Source organism: Homo sapiens, chromosome 10 (genome assembly GCF_000001405.40).
Source record: "Homo sapiens chromosome 10, GRCh38.p14 Primary Assembly".
Taxonomy (NCBI): Eukaryota; Metazoa; Chordata; class Mammalia; order Primates; family Hominidae; genus Homo; species Homo sapiens.
Window position 1 is genome coordinate 96910407 of NC_000010.11, and position 18820 is coordinate 96929226.

An 18820-nucleotide genomic window follows, 5' to 3' on the forward strand; every position below is an offset into this window, starting at 1 on the left:
GGAGACAGTCATACATCTGTAATGGAAAATAGTAAAAGAGAAAGCCTATATCATGTGAATTGTCAGATTTACAGTATTTCTTTAGTTGTGTTAGACTTAAAGTGTTTATATTGGAACTCTTTGCAGTCACTTGGAGCATCTTGTCCGAGAAGGACTAGAGTCTGGAAATTAAGTATTTTTTTTGTTTTGTTTTTTGGAAATGTATTATATCCGTTGGACTGAGGCTTGCATTTTAAGGCTGGCTTAAGATTCTAAAATAGAAAGAACTATCTGGAGAATATGGTAATAGCCAATAGGTGGCAGCATAGAGCATGGTACTGGATCTTGAGTTTGAGATTGGCATGGTGAGATAATCTAGGTAGTATTTGGAAAAGCACTTAGAAATATTGACCTGATATTTGGGAAGCAGCAGCTATGCATACTTTTAGCTAGTTGGATTTTCAGTAAATACTAACTCTGTAGAATGGATAAAGCAAATACATTATTTATATTTACCTTTAAAAACACGTAGGTGAAAAATACGAAGTAGCCTCTTTGGGAAGTAGAACAGGGATTCACCTAGAGATTAGTAAAAATTTTTGAACTGCACTTCAGGATCGCGCAGAAGTTAGAGAATGTAATTGTAAGGGAAAGGCAACTAACATGTTCTGAGCATCTACTATGTGCCAGTTATTTTTACATGTTCCCTTTTTTTTTTTTTTTTTTTTTTGAGACAGGGTCTTGCTCTGTTGCCCAGGCTGGGGTGCAGTGGTGTCATCTTGGCTCACTGCAGCCTCTACCTCCTGGGTTCAAGCGATTCTCATGCCTTAGCCTCCTGAGTAGCTGGAACTACAGGCGTGCACCAACACGCCCAGCTAAGTTTTGTATTTTTAGTAGAGACAGGGTTTTACCGTGTTGGCCAGGCTGGTCTTGAACCCCTGACCTCAAGTGATCCACTCGCCTCAGCCTCCCAGAGTGCTGGGATTACAGCGTGAGCCACCACGCCCTGCCACTCCTATTTAATCTTCAAAACAATCCTATAAAGTTGATTAAAGGCATCCTAGTTTTATAAATAAAGAAAAGGAAAGGGTCAGAGATGTTCAGTTATGGGCAAAATTACATAGCTGGGATTTGATCCATGTTTTTAGATGCATTTTGATAACAGTAGGAGCAGGAACATGGAAAGTGGAGAGCAAGAATTAAGTAGGTCTTGGAATTCAGTTGGAAAGAGGGAGGGAATCCTCAGTTGGAAATTTCTCAGTTGGAAAGAGGGAAAGTGTATTTGAAATGACCAATTCTAGCTATGTTAGGAATCTGTGAGTGACTGACTGACTGACTGCCTGACTGCCTCAGTTACCTGCTTACTTCTTTCCTTCCTCCCATTTTCTGTTTTATGGGCATAAAGTAGGCACTCTAAAATATTTATTAAATGAGTGACTAAGAAGTCAGGAAGCTTAATAAACTTGGAAAATTATAATAGCTGTTTTGAGTGTTTACATTTATACACAATTCTCTGTGTACTGCTTATTCATGAGGCTTTTCTTTTCTTTCTTTCTTTTTTTTTGTGAGATGGAGTCTCACTGTTGCGCAGGCTGCAGTACAGAGGCATGATCTCGGCTCACTGCACCCTCCACCTCCCTGGTTCAAGCAGTTCCCCTACCTCAGTCTCCCGAGTAGCTGTTATTACAGACACATGCCACCACGCCCAGCTAATTTTTTTGTATTTTTAGTAGAGGCGGGGTTTCACCATGTTGGTCAGGATGGTCTCAAACTCCTGACTTCAGGCAATCCACCCGCCTCGGCCTCCCAAAGTGTGATAACAGGTGTGAGCCACTGCACCCGGCCTTCTTTAACCTTTCTTTAAGCTTCAAATTTTTAAATTAATTTTAGCCTTATAAAGCAATTGCAAAAATTGTAAAAGGAATTCCCGTATATTCTTTAACCAGATTCTCCAAATGTTAGCATGTTATGTAACCACAGTACAATTATAAGTTCAGGAAATTAACAATGATACAATAGTATAATCTGCAAACCTTTGCGAATTTGCCAGTTATCCCACTAGTGTCCTTTATCTGGTCCAAGATCCAGTCCAGGATTACAGTCTGACTGATGTTGTATCATTCTTCGTGCATCATGTCAGAAAGCACGTGGTGATGTTTACTTTGATCACTTAGTTAAGGTGCTGTCTGCCTCTTTTCTGTAAGATCTTCCTTTCTTCCTTTCTTCCTTCCTTCCTTCCTTCCTTCCTTCCTTCCTTCCTTTCCTTCTTTTTCCTTTTTGTAGTTAATGGCTACATTGTTGGGGGAGGTACTTTGAGGTTTTGTAAATATCTTCTTTTTTTTAATTATACTAGTTTTTCATGCACTAATTTTAGCATCCATTGATGAACATTGCCTGAAAAAAAATTACTGTGGTGTTGACCAAATGATTTTCTATTTCCATAATTTCTTCTACATTTATGAGTTGGAATTCTACTGTAAGGAAGAACTTCTCTTTTCTCCCTATGTTGTTGTTTTAATATATCAGTACGAATTCATGGATTCTTATTTCATTCTGTGGATTATAATTCATTACAGTCCTTGTTTACTTAGCAGTTCAAATTATCCTAGGCCATTTAGGGCCCTTTGGAGTTGGCTGTTGTGTCCTTTTTGACATCTTTCTTTTTTTTAAAGCACTTTTTTTTTTTCACTTTTTGGCATTAAAAGATGTTCCAGTCTTAACATGTACTTTCCCTGTCCCGGCCCTGGATTTCTCCAAAAAACTCTAGTTCCTTTTAATCAGAGAACTGTGTAAGAATTCAAGGTGTCGGTACTAGGTGTATGTACTCTTGGTACTAGAGTGTCATTGCTTTGAAACATGTATGTTTACTAAAATACATGTGTAGCTATGTTATTTTATATATCAGTGAAAAACCATCCACTGAGATTTTTTGATTACAGATATGTTGATAGTATGAAGAGCTAATCCAGTAGTAGTGAGAGGGTCGGGGAGAGATGGGAAGGATGAGAAATTACTTTTAGTAGTTAATTCCTAAAAACGGACTGCTTCAGTGATCAGTCTGTTCTTGTGTATGGCTGGGATAGAGATGGCTGTTTGTAAAGTACAGATAACATGGATGATTCACTAAGGATGATGGGAGAGTAGGATGTTATACCAAAATATAAAATTAGTTTATGCACTTAGGTTTAAGACTAAAGTAAGTTTAGTATTTGATTGGCATATTAGGAGAGTGTTTCAAGAAGTTAGAACTTGAGGTTGGGTGCAGTGGCTCACACCTGTAATCCCAGCACTTTGGAAGGCCTCAGGCAGGCAGATCACTTGGGGCCAGGAGTTTGAGACCAGCCTGGCCAACATGGCAAAACCCCATCTCTACTGAAAATACAAAAATTTTAGCTGACTGTGGTGGCCCATGCCTGTAATTCCAGCTACTTGAGAGGCACGAGAATCGTTTGAACCTAGGAGCTGGAGGTTGCAGTGAGCCGAGATCATGCCTGGGCGACACACACAGACTGTCTGGAAAAAAAAAAAAAAGAAGTTAGAACTTGATCTGTGTTTTTGAAGAATATATAAGTCTGGATGAGCAGAGATGAAAGGGCACATCCTGGTTGGAACAGGGCATTTATTTTTGGAAGTAACCAGTGATATGGTTGGAGCCAGATAATAGATACCTTTCAGTGCCCAGCTAGCTCAGGAGTCATGTAACTAGATCTTTTTCATTGTATCAGCATATTTTGCTGAATGTTTCTTAATTTCTTCCAATTCGTGAATATGCATTGTTTGGTTATATCCCTTTAACATTTTAGTTTTATTGCTATTTTATTTTATTTTGAGACGGAGCCTCGCTCTTGTTGCCCAGGCTAGAGTACAGTGGCGCCATCTTGGGTCACTGCAACCTCCACCTCCCAGATTCAAGCGATTCTCCTGCCTTAGCCCCCCTGAGTAGCTGGGATTACAGGTGTCCACCACCACACCTGGCTAATTTGGTATTTTTAGTAGAGATGGGGTTTCACCATGTTGGTCAGGCTGGTCTCGAACTCCTGACCTCAGGTGATGCGCCTGCCTCGGCCTCCCAAAGTGCTGGGATTACAGGCGCGAGCCACCGCGCCTGGCCTTTATTGCTATTTTAATACATTGAAAGTTTTTTGTTTTCCCAAAGCCAAACTGTATCCATCTTTATTAAAGATACTTTCGATAAACAATTGTAGTATTTAAAAGCAGGACATGGGCAGACAGTTGTTAACAGTATAGAAGAACTTTCAAACTCCCTTCTTCAGTGGACTACCAAAAATCAGAAAGCCACTATAAAACCGAATGAAGTCTTTATCTAATGCTCTGAATGGGTAAAGTTTAGAGTGAGGGTTGACAAATTTTCAAGAGCTGACCCTGACTTTAAGGAAGTGAAATGAAAATGGCAGTATTTATCTGAAGATCCACTATCTAGAAATGGAACCACTGCTCTTTTGAGGGGTGCCATCTCAGTGCATCACTGGGAAGTCCAGATTGCTTGACACACTGGTAACCAATTATTGGGGGTCAGGTCCCAACAGATGTCTGGATTTAAGGGAGTTAAGTCTGTGTTGAAAGGTGGAAAGGGAGAAGAAGACATAAAGATGCATTTGTTTTTCTATACCACAAGGCTTTTGTGCCATGGTGCCCACGTGTATCAAAGTCAGGGAATCCCACTTCCTGGAAGCCAAGAGGAAGTCTCTCAAAACTAGGAGGGAAAGGTGTTTTCCCCACAACAGTCTGGCTTCGGAGACATTCTATTAGTGACCTATGCCCCTTCCCCCAAAAACGACAATGAAGTATTCTGTGTGCTCACAGCATAGCTTTTAAAAATATGTAAGTAAATAAGCCGGGCACGGAGGTGCACGCCTGTAATCCCAGCACTTTGGGAGGCCGAGGCAGACAGATCACAAGGTGAAGAGATCGAGACCATCCTGGCCAACATGGTAAAACCGTGTCTCTACTAAAAATACAAAAAAATTAGCCAGGCGTGGTGACGTGCGCCTGTAGTCCCAGCTACTTGGGAGGCTGAGGCAGGAGAATCACTTGAACCCAGGAGGCGGAGGTTGCAGTCAGCCGAGATTGCGCCACTGCACTCCAGCCTGGGGAGAGAGTGAGACTCCGTCTCCTAAATAAATAAATAAAACAAAATTCTGCATTTTTATGAAACTTGGTAAAAAATAGAATTTCAAACTATACAGTCACCAGAAGTACACAGTTATCAAAAATGCACACACTTCACTCGGCATCTGCAGCACCTTCAGCTTTCTGTGCCTGGTCTGATTTGGCATTTCCCATTTTCTACAGGGTTATTCACCTCCTTGCCAGCATCAGCTTTTTCCTTTTTCCCTTTGGGTACCTTCTCTCCCTCCTTTGCAGGGCCCTTTTGAAGCTTGGGCTCTGGCTTTGGAGGAGCAGGGTTAGCAGACAACCTTGCAGATCTTCTCTGTGGTTAGTCCTTTAACTTGGCATTATCTCCTTTAGCATCCCCTTCAGCCTTTCTCTAGGCATATTGGCAGCGACGGCGGCAGGATGTAGGTGCTAGGCGCAGGATGCAGTGGTGCGTGGCCTTTGGTAGTCCAAGGGTCATTCTCACCTCTTCTTCACACTGTTCCCATTGAAAGTTTTTATTTATTCATTTATTTATTTATTTATTTAGAGACGGAGTCTCGTTCTGTTGCCCAGGCTGGAGTGCAGTGGCGCAATCTGGGCTCACTGCAAGCTCCGCCTCCCGGGTTCACCCAATTCTCCTGCCTCAGCCTCCTGAGTAGCTGGGACTACAGGTGCCCGCCACCACTCCCGTCTAACTTTTTGTATTTTTAGTAGAGATGGGGTTTCACCTTGTTAGCCAGGATGGTCTCAGTCTCCTGACCTCGTGATCCGCCCACCTCGGCCTCCCAAAGTGCTGGGATTACAGGCGTGAGCCACCACACCCGGCCCCCTTGAAAGTTTATATTAACAGCAAGCAGATGATAAATCTAGTTGTTACTTTTATATTGTATTCTTCAACATGTATTTATGTTGAATACTTTGGGCATATTCAAACCTGCTCAATGTGACTTGCCTGTCATCTTACACCAGAATACTACAAATCAATAAGTATTTACCTGTGATATAAAAGGAACTATGGAAGAAAAAATTTCAATATAGTTTCTATCAAGAGTGAGAAAGAAACACATATGAGATATTTAAAGGCTATATATATATATATATATCTATATATATGATTATTTATTTTTTTGAGACGGAGTCTTGCTCTGTCTCCCAAGCTGGAGTACGGTGGCACGATCTCAGCTCGCTGCAACCCTCACCTCCTGGGTTCAAGCAATTCTCGTGCCTCAACCTCCTGAGTAGCTGGGACTACAGGCGCACGCCACCCCACCCAGCTAATTTTTGTATTTTTAGTAGAGATGGGGTTTCACCATGTTGGTCGGGCTGGTCTTGAACTCCTGACCTCAAGTGATCTGCCTGCCTTGGCTTCCCAAAGTGCTGGGATTACAGGCGTGAGCCACTGTGCCCAGCCTCTATGTGAGATTTAATAGAATGCAGAGTGAAATAGATATCACAAATTAATACGTGTTAATTAGGTGCTCAGTTAATTGTACAAATCTAAATTGCTGGGTCTAACCTTGTTAAATTTCCAGAGACGTTTGGTATAGATTATTTAGGATTAAAACTGCTTGATATGAATCAGTGCTCAGTAAGAGATTCCATGAAATATCAAAGAGTTTATTTTTTGTCTCCCAGTTCGTAGAGTTGTTTGCAAAAAACACAGGCAAGGAGAAATCATTAATTGGTGACTGCTCTGTTCAGTTTTATGTGGTCAGAGTCAATGAATAGACTAATCATTTGGCAGGTTTATTAAATGTGTGGTTCTGTGTTTGGCCAGAGAAGATAACAGAGAAGTAAAAGACCTGGTCCCCTCTTGGCTTGTGGAATATTGGGGAAACTATGAGTGGCAAAAGCAATTAGACTTGTAATCTATAAGGAGTTTTAAATCATCCATGCTGTGCATCCAGAACCAGAATTCTCATATATGCAGGGAACATTAAAAGTAAAATCCCATGCTCATTCCCATATGTAGTATTTTAGAGATAGTAGCTAATACAAGAAAATATAAGTACTGTAGCAGTTTGAGAGGTGCAGTAGATGACACTGGAGTTGCTTAATCTAGAAGTTAGAACTCAAACTGAACTTTAAAAGGATCTGTGTGTGTTTTAGAGTGGTTGGTTTGGTAATTGTTTTTAGGATGTAGTACAGAAGGATTTACAGCGAGAAAATTATGGGAGGGTCTTATAATAATTCACAAAATGAAACTGTTCTAGAGTCATGGCTGTGAAGATGCATAAGGAAGAGATGTGCGTAGAGAATCTGGAATAAAGAGTTGTCGAAGCTTAGTGATTACGTAAATATATAAATAAGGGAGAGGAAAGTGATACTGACGTTAGGCTTCCATCCCAGATGGCTTGGCATGAAATTAAAAGTCAATTAGAAGTCAAGAAGAGAGAAGGGAAAGTTTTGGTGCAGTGGCCAGTTTTATGAGGAGAGAATGGAGATAGCTCAAAGCATTTTGAGGTGAGAGTGAACATTTAATTGGAAGTGTCCAGTAGACAGGGTTGTGGGAAATGAGTTGAAATAAAAGGTCTGGGGTGAAGATATATTGGAGAGGGTTTCTGAAAACATGATTGGATTATTTGAGCAAACGAAGTTTCTAAGGAGTAAAGCACAAAATACTGAGTTTTATAGAAGACCTTCATTTTAGGAAGTAAGAATCAGATTAAAAATAAGATAGAGTCATAAAATAAATGAGTTACCCATTTTGCATCAGTTGTCTTCCTGGCCCCATACTCTATAATGACAGGGGGGATGGGTTGTCATGTTTGTCAAACTAATGTGGACTCCTGTACCATTTCCCAGAATGGACCTCAGATGGGTTGAGCAAGTACCCTCCAAACATACTACAATGGGCTTTGAGAGAATAGGTTCTCAAGAATTCTGGTTGTGAGGGACAGACTATAAGTCTGACAGCATTGATGAATATGTGGGTGTTGGTGGGAGTTAAGAAATGAATACACGCTACTGGCTTGAAAAGTTGTCAGTGAAAGGAATGATGAAAACAGCACCATAGAAGAATAGGCAAAGGATTTAAGTAAAGATTTTGAGAGCTAAAGGGAGAAGCTTAAGTACTATACTCATAGAAGAAGCTGAGATGAAGAAATTAAAAGGAGGGAACAGTTGGAAAAGGCAAGATTGTAAGAGAACCAACAAGGTATTAGTTACTGGACATTGGTAGGAGATTCCTACTGGAATTAGAATACAGTCAGTGTAACTTCAGGAGTTACAGTTGGTAGGAATTAAATCAGGCATGAATGCCTGAATATAAGAACCGTGGCCAACTGACTTTGCCCTCACAGTGAGAGCAGTGACTGGTGAGAAACTGTTAGATATGAAAGCATTGTTTAACACAATAGTAAGGTGGAATAGGCCGTAGTAACTGTACTTCTCTCATCTGCAGCACTGCTCAAAGTTTTCTAGTTACATCAGCAACAAAAAAGGTAAAGTTTCAAGAAAAGTAATAAGATTTCGTTATCTCTAGCAGTGCGTTAAGTATAAAAAACTACTGAAGTCTAGATATTAAACAAAATCTTATTTTTGTATTTTATATTTTGTCAGTGTAAAAACCATGAGGCAGTTGAAATGTATACACATTGAGGTACCTTTCAACTGTAAAATTATATGATTCTCTGAAAATCTGTTTTCGATAGCTTGCTTAAGGAGATTCTTAGAATTAATCAGTGATCTGAGTAAGTTTAGAATATGCCTACTTATATAAAAATTAGGGTTAGAGTTCCATAGAGCCTCAGTGTTTCATTTGAATGTCTTAATAGAGTCAGTATTTTCTTTCTTTCTGCCCATGAGTGTAGGTCTCACTTTTTTCTTTCCTTTCTTATGAACTGGTATTTGCACATTAGACTTTCTTTGTTCTTTCCCCTCAATTATGAAAGCTTGTATTTGTTCTGCTTCTCTTCCCCCCTTCCCCTTTTATTAGGTCTCCATCTTTTTTGAAATTATTTGCATTTTCTTCATGGATTGTATCTTTTTATTTTTTTAAATTACGGTAAAATATACATAACATTTACTATCTTAACCATATTTAGGTGTACAAGATGAGTAGTTAAGTACTTGCATTGTTGTGCAACCAGTCTCCAGAACTCTCTTCATCTTGTAAAATGGAAACTCTTTGTCCATTAAACAGTAACTCTCCCATTTCCTCCTCTCTTTAGCCCCTGGCAACCACTGTTCTACTTTTTGTCTCAATGAGTTTGCTTATTCCAGATATATAAGTAGAATCATATAGTATTTGTCGTTTTGTGACTGACTTGTATTGCCTAAGATAGTGTCCTTATGTTTTTCTATATTGTTGTATGTGTCAGAATTCCTTCCTTTTTAAAGCAGAACAATATTCCACTTATGTATATATCCCATTTTGTTCATCCATCCATCAGTGGACCCTTGGTTTGCTTTCACCTCTTAGCTGTTATAAATAATTCTGCTATGAACATGGGTATACAGATACCTCTTTGAGATCCTGCTTTCAGTTCTTTTTTGTGTATACCTAGAAATGGAATTGTTGGATCATATGGTAATCCTGTTTTTAAGTTTTTGAGAAATTATCAGACTTTGCCACATCAGCTGCATCATTTTACAGTGCTACCAGCAAGGCTAAAGGGTTCCAATTTTTCCGCATTGTTGCCCTCATTTGTTTTCTTCCGTGGGTGTATTTTTTTTTTTAATAGTAGCCATGCTAATGAACGTGAAGTAGTATCTCGTTGTGGTTTTGGTTTGCAGTTCCCTAGTGATTCATAGTGCTGAACAGCTTTTCATGTGATTGTTGGTCATTTGTATATCATGTTTAAAGAAATGTCTTGTTCAAGTTCTTTGCCCATTTTTGAATTCGGTTGTTTCTTGTTAAATTGTAGTTCTTCATTCATATATATATGTGTATATATGTGTATATATGTATATATATTCATATATATGTGTATATATGTGTATATATATGTATATTCATATATGTGTATATATATGTATATTCATATATATGTGTATATATGTATGTATATTCAGATATATGTGTATATATGTATGTATATTCATATATATGTGTATATATGTATGTATATTCATATATATGTGTATATATGTATGTATATTCATATATGTGTATATATGTATGTACATTCATATATGTGTATATATGTGTATATATGTATATATGTATATATTCATATATGTGTATATATGTTCATATATGTGTGTATATATGTATATATGTTCATATATATGTGTATATATGTATACACACACACACACACACACACACACACACACACACACACGCGCGGTGGGGGGGTGGTGGGCGGGAGACAGGATGTTACTCTGTTGCCCAGGCTGGAGTACAATGGTGCAAACACTGCTTGCTGCAGCCGTGACCTCCCGGGCACATGTAATCCTCCTGCCTCAGCCTCCCAAGCAGCTGAGACCACAGGCACTTGCCACCACACCTGGCTAATTTTTAAATTTTTTGTGGAGATGGGGCCTTGTCATGTTGCCCAGGCTGGTCTTGAACTCCTAGACTCAAGAACTCTTAGAATCCTAGAACTCCTAGGCTCATGCTGTCCTTCCTCCTTGGCCTCCCAAAGTGCTGGGATTACAGGTGTGAGCCACCACCCCCAGCCTATATGTTCTTAATATTAACCCCATATCAGATATATAATTTGCAAATTATCTCCCATTTTATAATTTATTTTTTCACTCTGTTGTGTCCTTTGATGCACAAAATTTAAAAATTTGATTTAATTCAATTTATCTATTTTTACTTTTGTTGTCTGTTCTTTTGGAGTTGTATACAGAAAATCATTGCCAGATCCAGTGTCGTGAAGCTTTCCGAACCCTGTTTTCTTCTAAAAGTTTTATAGTTTTAGCTCTTACAATTAGGTCTTCAATCTATTTTGAGTAAATTTTTATATACGGTGTACGGCAAGGATCCAGCTTCATTCTTTATTTAATTTTAATTTTTATTTTTTGGAGACGGAGTTTCGCTCTATCTCCCAGGCTGGAGTACAGTGGCACAATCTTGGCTCACCACAACCTCCGCATCCTGGATCCAAGCGATTCTTGTGCTTCAGCCATAAGAGTAGCTGGGATTACAGATGCATGCCATCACACCTGGCTAATTTTTTTGTATTTTTAGTAGCGATGGGGTTTTACCATGTTGGCCAGGCTGGTCTCAAACTCCTGGCCTCAAGTGATCCACCTGCCTTGGCCTCCCAAAGAGCGAGGATTACTGGTGTAAGCCACGGCCCCCAGCCCAGCTTCATTAGCAGCATGTGGATGACCACATTTCCCAACACCAGTTGCTGAGAAGAATTGTTTCTCCCATTGAATCGTGTTGGTACCCTTGTAGGAAATCATCTGACCACATCTGAGCGTTTATTTCTGGACTATCTATTTCTGTTTCATTAGTCTATGTGTCTGTCTGAATGTCTACTAGCACCACATTCTGGGAGGGATTACTGTAGCTTTGTAATAAGTTTTGAAATCAGGAGGTGTCAAACCCAGAATGTTTTTCTTTTTCAATATTGTTTTGGCAATTTGGGATCTCTTGAAACTTCAGGGTGGATGTTTTTTCTGCCAGAAATGCCATTGGGATTTTGATAAGGATTGCATTAAATGTGTAGATCATTTTGGATTGTATCAGCTGGCAATATTAAGTCTTTGCCTTTTTATTTCTTATATATTTTTAAAAATAAAATTTCCTAAGTTTTTTTTTTCTAAATTTAAAATCAACAACTATATATTTCGTTCTTCCTACATCAGAAGGACCAGCCACTGTGGGATCAATAAAGATGCTATAAGTGAAAGAAAGAAGTTTTGGCCACAGATATTATTTTCAAGGAATTTACAGTCTGTTGGAGGAGATTAAAAATAGAAGTAAATACACAAGTTAATGACTATTGCTGTCAGAATAGTAGAAAGTCCTATAGGAATTTAGAAAATGGCAAAATTACTCTCAACCAGGCTTTATAATGCGATTGCCTCAAATATGCAGTTGGATATTCTTGCATTTGTAATAGTCTTAGCCAAAGTCATTATGAAGAGCAGATTGAAATTCAGGGAACCTTCTGATTGAGATTGGGCTGAGCATGAATATTGGGAGTAGTATAAACTTTGAATTTCCAACCAATAGAGGCATAAAGAAATGCTTGCTATTGTCTGTGGGGGTGGTTTGCTTTTTTCGTTTAATGTTGTTAAAAACTATACATGTATAATGGATAAAACTATCAACAGCAAATGCTGATTATAGATACTGGTCAATTAACTAGTGTAATAGTAATAATAGCCATTTGCTGCTTACCCTTTAGGCTTAATTTCTATGAGCAGTAATATATATATTGACAAGAGTCATTTGTGGTAGGTTTGTACATTTTGAATGCCGTATTTAACTCTTCAAGTGTGTCTAGTGTCAAACTTTTTGGTTTTCTATTCATTAACTTGATAGTCTGCTTAACAGTCAGTGGTAACGTTGACATATGGCAAAGATTATATTAAGCACAATTCATACTTTATGTAAAAAGCAATAATTTAAGCAAAGTAAGGTTTTCTGTTAGATAATTGACCTTAAAGTGTATGGACATTTAAATGGTGGAGACATTTCCCCTAAGACTTGTTGGCATTTAAAGTAATAAGATGTAGGAAAGTGGCATTTAAATCAATGAGTTGCATCATGTCAGCTCTTTTTAGCTCATTGCTTGAAATGTCAGTAGCAGATATGGCTGTAGCTGTAGGCCCATGATCTGTCTATTCGGGGAGTCTTTGCTAACATAATTATTACAAAACCTGCATGTGTTCACACGCTTTTAATTCCCAAATTTTCTCTATCCTATAGTATGAATTTAAAACAATATTACCTAAATTTGGAGAATCCAAGCACTGAGTTTAGACAGGGGTGGCATTAAAATGTCATCCTATTGTCACACTTCTGCAGTCTAGGCCATCCTACCCTTTCCTATTGAAACTGCATTGTATCCTCTGTTTCCTCTCTTGAGGTCTTACCTCTCAAATAGAAAATAAGTAACACTATGTAAGTAAGCATCCTCCTCCTTTAATCTTATCACCCAAAACACATCTAAACTCACAAGGTGACAGATATTAGAGCTACAAAAGAAACTTTCGGAAATGTTCATCTTTATTGTTAAAAATTTAACCATATTAACTATTTATTGCCTTAAGGACTAGATTCCATGCTGACATAATTTTGTAGCTTTGTTTATTCAGTGATATCTTTGCTATTTCAGGGACCATTGGAGCTATTTCTGTTACAGTTCTTGGAGGAATCTTAACAGTTCTCTTTATCAGGGGTCAGCAAACTAAGACTTGTCACTAAATCTAGCCCACAGGCTGTTTTTATAATACCCACAAGCTAAAGAGTTGTAAGCAACTCAGAGTAAGCAACAGAGACTCTATCTGGCCTGTAAAACCTAAAATATTTACTCTCCGGCCCTTGACAGAAAATTGTGTACTCTGTTTTTAATATCTTCACCAGGTTCTCGAGATATTAAGAGAAGTCTGAAAGTCATTCACTTCCATATGCTGCTTTTATTCTCTTTCTCTTCATCCTCAAATCAGGTACCAGTACCTGTACCACAAGCAAATATAAGTTAATGGCAGGACGGCTGGGATTATGGAGGAGAAGGTGGAGGAGAAACAAAGGAAACTGGCTTGTGGGAGAAAAGTAGGGCTCCATCTTTGTCCACCTTACTTTTATTTTGAGACAGTTTCACTTTGTTACCCAGGCTGGAGTGCAGTGACGTGATCTCGGCTCGCTGCAGCTTCAACCTCCTGGGCTCAAGTCATCCTCCAGCCTCAGCCCCACAAGTAGCTGGGACTGCAGGCGTGTGCCTCTACGCCCAGCCAATTTGTTTTTGTTTGTTTGTTTGTTTGTTTGTTTGTTTGTTTTTTGTATTTTTTGTAGAGATGGGGTTTTGCCATGTTGCCCAGGCTGGTCTCAAAGTCCTGAGTTCAAGTGATCCACCCGCCTCAGCCTCCCAAAGTGCTGGGATTATAGATGTGAGCTACTGCGCCCAGCCACATTAAAAAATTTTTTATTTTGAAGTAATTTCACACTTACAGAAAAGTTGCAGGACTAGTACAAAAATACCTATATACCCTTCACCGAGATTCACCAATTGTTATTTTGCCATATTTGCCTTATTATTTAGTCATTTTTGTTCTTTGTCATAATTACTACTTACAACGCAGGCATTTTCTTGAGCCATATGAAAATAAGTTGTGGACATCACACCCCTCAGACCTCTTTACTCTTAAATATTTCAGTGTGTATTTCCCTTTATCCTAAGAACAAGGATATCTGCTTACTGAACCACACTATATAGTTTCCAAAGTCAGGAAAGTTAACCCTGATATAATATTACCTAATATATGAATCTTACTCAAATTTTACCGATTATCCCAGTGACCTTTATATTCTCCCTTCTTAGTTTAAAATCCAATTTAGCATCACTCATTAAATTTGATTTCCACTACTCTTTAGTCTCCTTTAGTCTAGAATGGTTCCTCAACCATTTATTTATTTATTTATTTTATTTATTTATTTTCATTTTTATTTATTTATTTATTTTTTGAGATGGAGCTTCACTGTTGCCCAGGCTGAAGTACGGTGGTGCAATCTGGGCTCACAGCAACCTCCGCGTCCCGGGTTCAAGTGGTTCTCCTGCCTCAGCCTCCTGAGTAGCTGGGATTACAGGTGTGCACCACCACGCTCAGCTAATTTTTGTATTTTTAGTAGAGACAGGGTTTCACCATGTTGGCCAGGCTGGTCTTGAACTCCTGATCTCAGGTGATCACCTGCCTCGGCCTCCCAAAGTGTTGGGATTACAGGCATGGCCACTGGGCCCAGCCCTTTTATTTATTTTTAATGACAATGACATTTTTTAATAGGATGGAACATTTATTTTGTAGAATTTCTCTTAATTTAGGTTTTTCTGATGTTTCTTTATGATTAAGTTCATAATATTAAATAAGTGATAAATTATTAAATAAGTGATATATCCTCCTTTATGCATCATATCATGAAGCATACAATGCCAGTTTAATCAGGTGATGTTAACTTTGTTTTTACTTATTTTATTTTATTTTATTTTTGTGTGTGTATGTGTGATGTTAACTTTGATCACTTGGTGAGTTGATGTCTGCCAGGTTTCTCCACTGAAATATTACTATTTTCCCCTTTATAATAAATAAGTTATTTGTGGGGAGATACTTTGAGGCTGTATAAACATCTTATCAAACTTTGATCCATTTTAGTTTTAGTATCAGTGATAGTTTCTTGCCTAAATCAGTTGCTCTGATAGATGGAAAATGGTAATTTCTTAACCCCTTTTTTTCTTCTGTATTTTTTAGTTAGCTTTATACTTTGAGGAAGACCTGTCCCTTTCCTGTATCAGTTTGAAGTCAGGATTCTTATTCTATGCAATAAGTTTTCTGTTAATGTTTCATATTTGGTCAGTGGAAGCCCCTTTCAGGCCACCTCCTGTGTCCTTTTGACATGTCCCAGGCTTTTTATGAGCACCTCTTAAATTCTGTTACAAGATGTTCTAAATTCATCTTGTCCTTTTCCTGCTCTAACAATGGAATCCATTTTTCTAAAGAGATCTGGTTCCTTTGGTGAGGAATTGTTGATACACATACCCCCTTTTTTGCCCATCTGCATACAGCTTCATTCACAAACATCAGCCATTGGGCAGTAGCCTCCTTATCTTGGTTTGCATTTTTTGGTGGTAGCAAAAATACTGAAATGTCGTTAACTCATAGCCACTAACAGCATATCCTTTCAGAATATTGTGCAAAGAAATTTATGGAAAGTAAAATACATAGGTTTTCAACTTAAATGTATGCTTGCTTTTTAGGGGAAAGATAGTCAAGTGAAGTTTTGAAAATAATCACATATCTTTGTGACATATCTTTGTGACACAAATAACAAGCAAAAATCATTTCTTTGATTTCAAGTGATTAGTTCAAGAGTTGAAAGTCAGTGATATATTCAGTATCTTTAATACCCTGAACCTATTTTTAATGATATTTAGGCACTGAGATAGTATTTATGTACAATAAAATTCATCCAAAGAGTACATTTGGATGAATTTTGGTAAATGTATACAGTTGTCTAACCAGCATAGTGAGAGACACAGGACATTTCCCTCACCCTAAGAAGTTTGTATGTGCCCTTTATAGTCAGTCCCCTTCCCAGACTCCCAGACCTGCACAATTATGAGTTTTACCTTTTCTAGAATTTTATATAATAGGAATCATAAAATACATAGTTTTTTTATGTTTGACTTCTTTTTGTTAGCATAATTTTTTGGGTTTTATTTTTGTTTTTGTATATAAGCTTTTGTTCCTTTTTATTGCTGAGTAGTTCTCCATAGCATGGATATGCTACAGTTTGTTTATCATTTCACTTTTTTATGGACTTTTGAGTTGTTTCCAGATGTTGATTATTATGACTTAATTGTGTACATCTTTTTGTGGACATATTGTTTGATTTCTTTGGGATCAATACCTAGAGTTGGAATTGCTGAGTGGTATTGTAAATATATGTTTAACGTTATATTATGATACGGTTTACCAAAGTGACTGAACCATTTTGTGTTTCCATCAGCAGTGTATGAGAGTTCCAGTGTTCCTCGTCTTACCAACATTTGGTATCATCAGTCTTTTTAACATAAGCCATTCTAGTGGGTGTGTGTAGTGGTATCTCATTTTGGTTTTAATTTTTATTTCCCTGATACTGGTGAGGTTGAGCATCCTGTCCATCTATATATTTTATGTGATGTGTTTGTTTGAATCTTTTACCAATTTTAGAAAACATTATTATAAGTTATAATAATTCTTTATATATTTTGTATAAACCCTTTGGTCAGGTATGTTATACAAATATTTTCTCTGAGGCTTGTCTTTTTCTTTGCGTCATTTGAAAAGCAGTTTTTTTTTTATCTCAATGAAGTTTATCAATCTTTTTCTCTTAAAATTTATGTTTTTTAATGTCCTGTTCAAAAAAATCTTTGCCTATACCAAATGCAAAAGAAAATCTCATGTTTTCTTCTAAAAGTTTAGTAGTAACTGTTATATTTTGATCTCTGATCCATTTCTATTTAATTTTTCTATATGGTGTGAGGTAGGAGTTGAGGTTTTATATTCCAAAAGAAAATCCATTTGTTCTAGCACCATTTGTTGAAAAGACTGTCTTTTGCCACATTGAATTACCTTGACATCTTTGTTTGGTCATTTGACCATATACATGTTGGTATATTTCTGGACCCTACAGACATACCTGAGAGATAATGTGGATTGGGTTCCAGACCATCATAATAAAGCGAATGTCACAATAAAGCAAGTCACATTATTTTTTTGGTTTCCCAGTGCATATAAAAGTTATGTTTATATTGTAGTCTGTTAAGTGTGCAATAGCATTATATATAAAGAAACAATGTATATAACCTAAGAAATGCTTTGTTGTTGAAAATTGCTAACAATTATGTGAGCCTTCAGTAAATTGGAATCTTTTTGCTGGTGAAAGGTCTTGTCTTGATGTTGACTGCTGCCAACTGATCAAGTTGGTGGTTGCTGAAAGTTGGGGTGGCTGTGGCAATTTCTTGAAAGAAGACAACAATGAAGTTTGCTGCATGGATTAACTTCTTTTCAGGAAAGATTTCTCTGTAGCATGTGAGGCTGTTTGCATTTTACCCGTAGTAGAACTTCTTTCAAAATTGGAGCCAGTTCTCTCAAACCCCATTGCTGCTGTATCAACTAAGTTTGCTTAATATTCTATATCCTTTGTTGTTATTTCAACAATGTTGACAGCATCTTCACCAGGAGTAGATTCCATCGTAAGAAACCACTTTCTTCAAAACATGATGTAGACTCATTTAAAAAAAAATAAACCACTGTTTTGTTTTCTCATCCATAACAAGCAACTCTTCACCCTTTCAAGTTTTGTCACGAGATTGCAGCAATTAAGTTACATCTTAAGGCTCCACTTCAAGTTCTCTTACCATTTCCACCATATCTGCAGGTCCTTCCTCCACTGATGTCTTGAACTTCTCCAAGTCATCTGTGAGGGTTTGAATCAGCTTCTTCAAAACTCTTGTTAATATTTATATTTTGTTCTTCTCTCTTGAATCACGAATGTTCTTAATGGCATCTAGAATGGCAAATCTTTTCCGGAAAGTTTTTAATTTACTTTGCCTAGATCCTTCAGAGGAATCACCAGCTATGGCAGCTATAACCTTGCGAAATGTATTTCTTAAGTAACAAGACTTGAAAGTCAGTATTACTCTTGGATACATGGGCTGCAGAATGGGTATTGTGTTAGTAGGCATGAAAACAACATTAATCTCCTTGTACATCTCCATCAGAGCTCTTGAATGACCAGGTGGATTGTCAGTGAGCAGTAATATTTTTAAAGGAATCTTTATTTTTTTCTTTCTGAGCAGTATGTCTTAACTGGGGACTTAAAATATTCAGTAAACCATAATATAAACACATGTGTTGTCATCCAGGCTTTGTTGTTCTGTTTATAGAGTACAGGCAATGTAGAGTTAGCATAATTCTTAAGGGCCCTCGAATTTGGGGAATCGTAAATGAGCACTGGCTTCAACTTTGGTCACCACTGCATTAGACTCTAACAATCTCATCAACCTGTTCTTGAAGCTTTGAAGCCAGGCATTGACTTGTCCTCTCTCACTATGAAAGT

At 37.8% G+C, this 18820-nt stretch overlaps 1 protein-coding gene and 1 pseudogene across 4 annotated transcripts in view; one reads left to right on the forward strand and one right to left on the reverse strand.

Annotated features, from left to right (window-relative positions):
* The window catches only part of LCOR (ligand dependent nuclear receptor corepressor), a 163659-nt gene that overhangs the window by 78109 nt on the left and 66730 nt on the right, over window positions 1–18820 (forward strand). The gene's annotated exons all lie outside the window — the stretch shown is intronic.
* HMGN2P35 (high mobility group nucleosomal binding domain 2 pseudogene 35) lies at window positions 5116–5599 on the reverse strand (annotated as a pseudogene).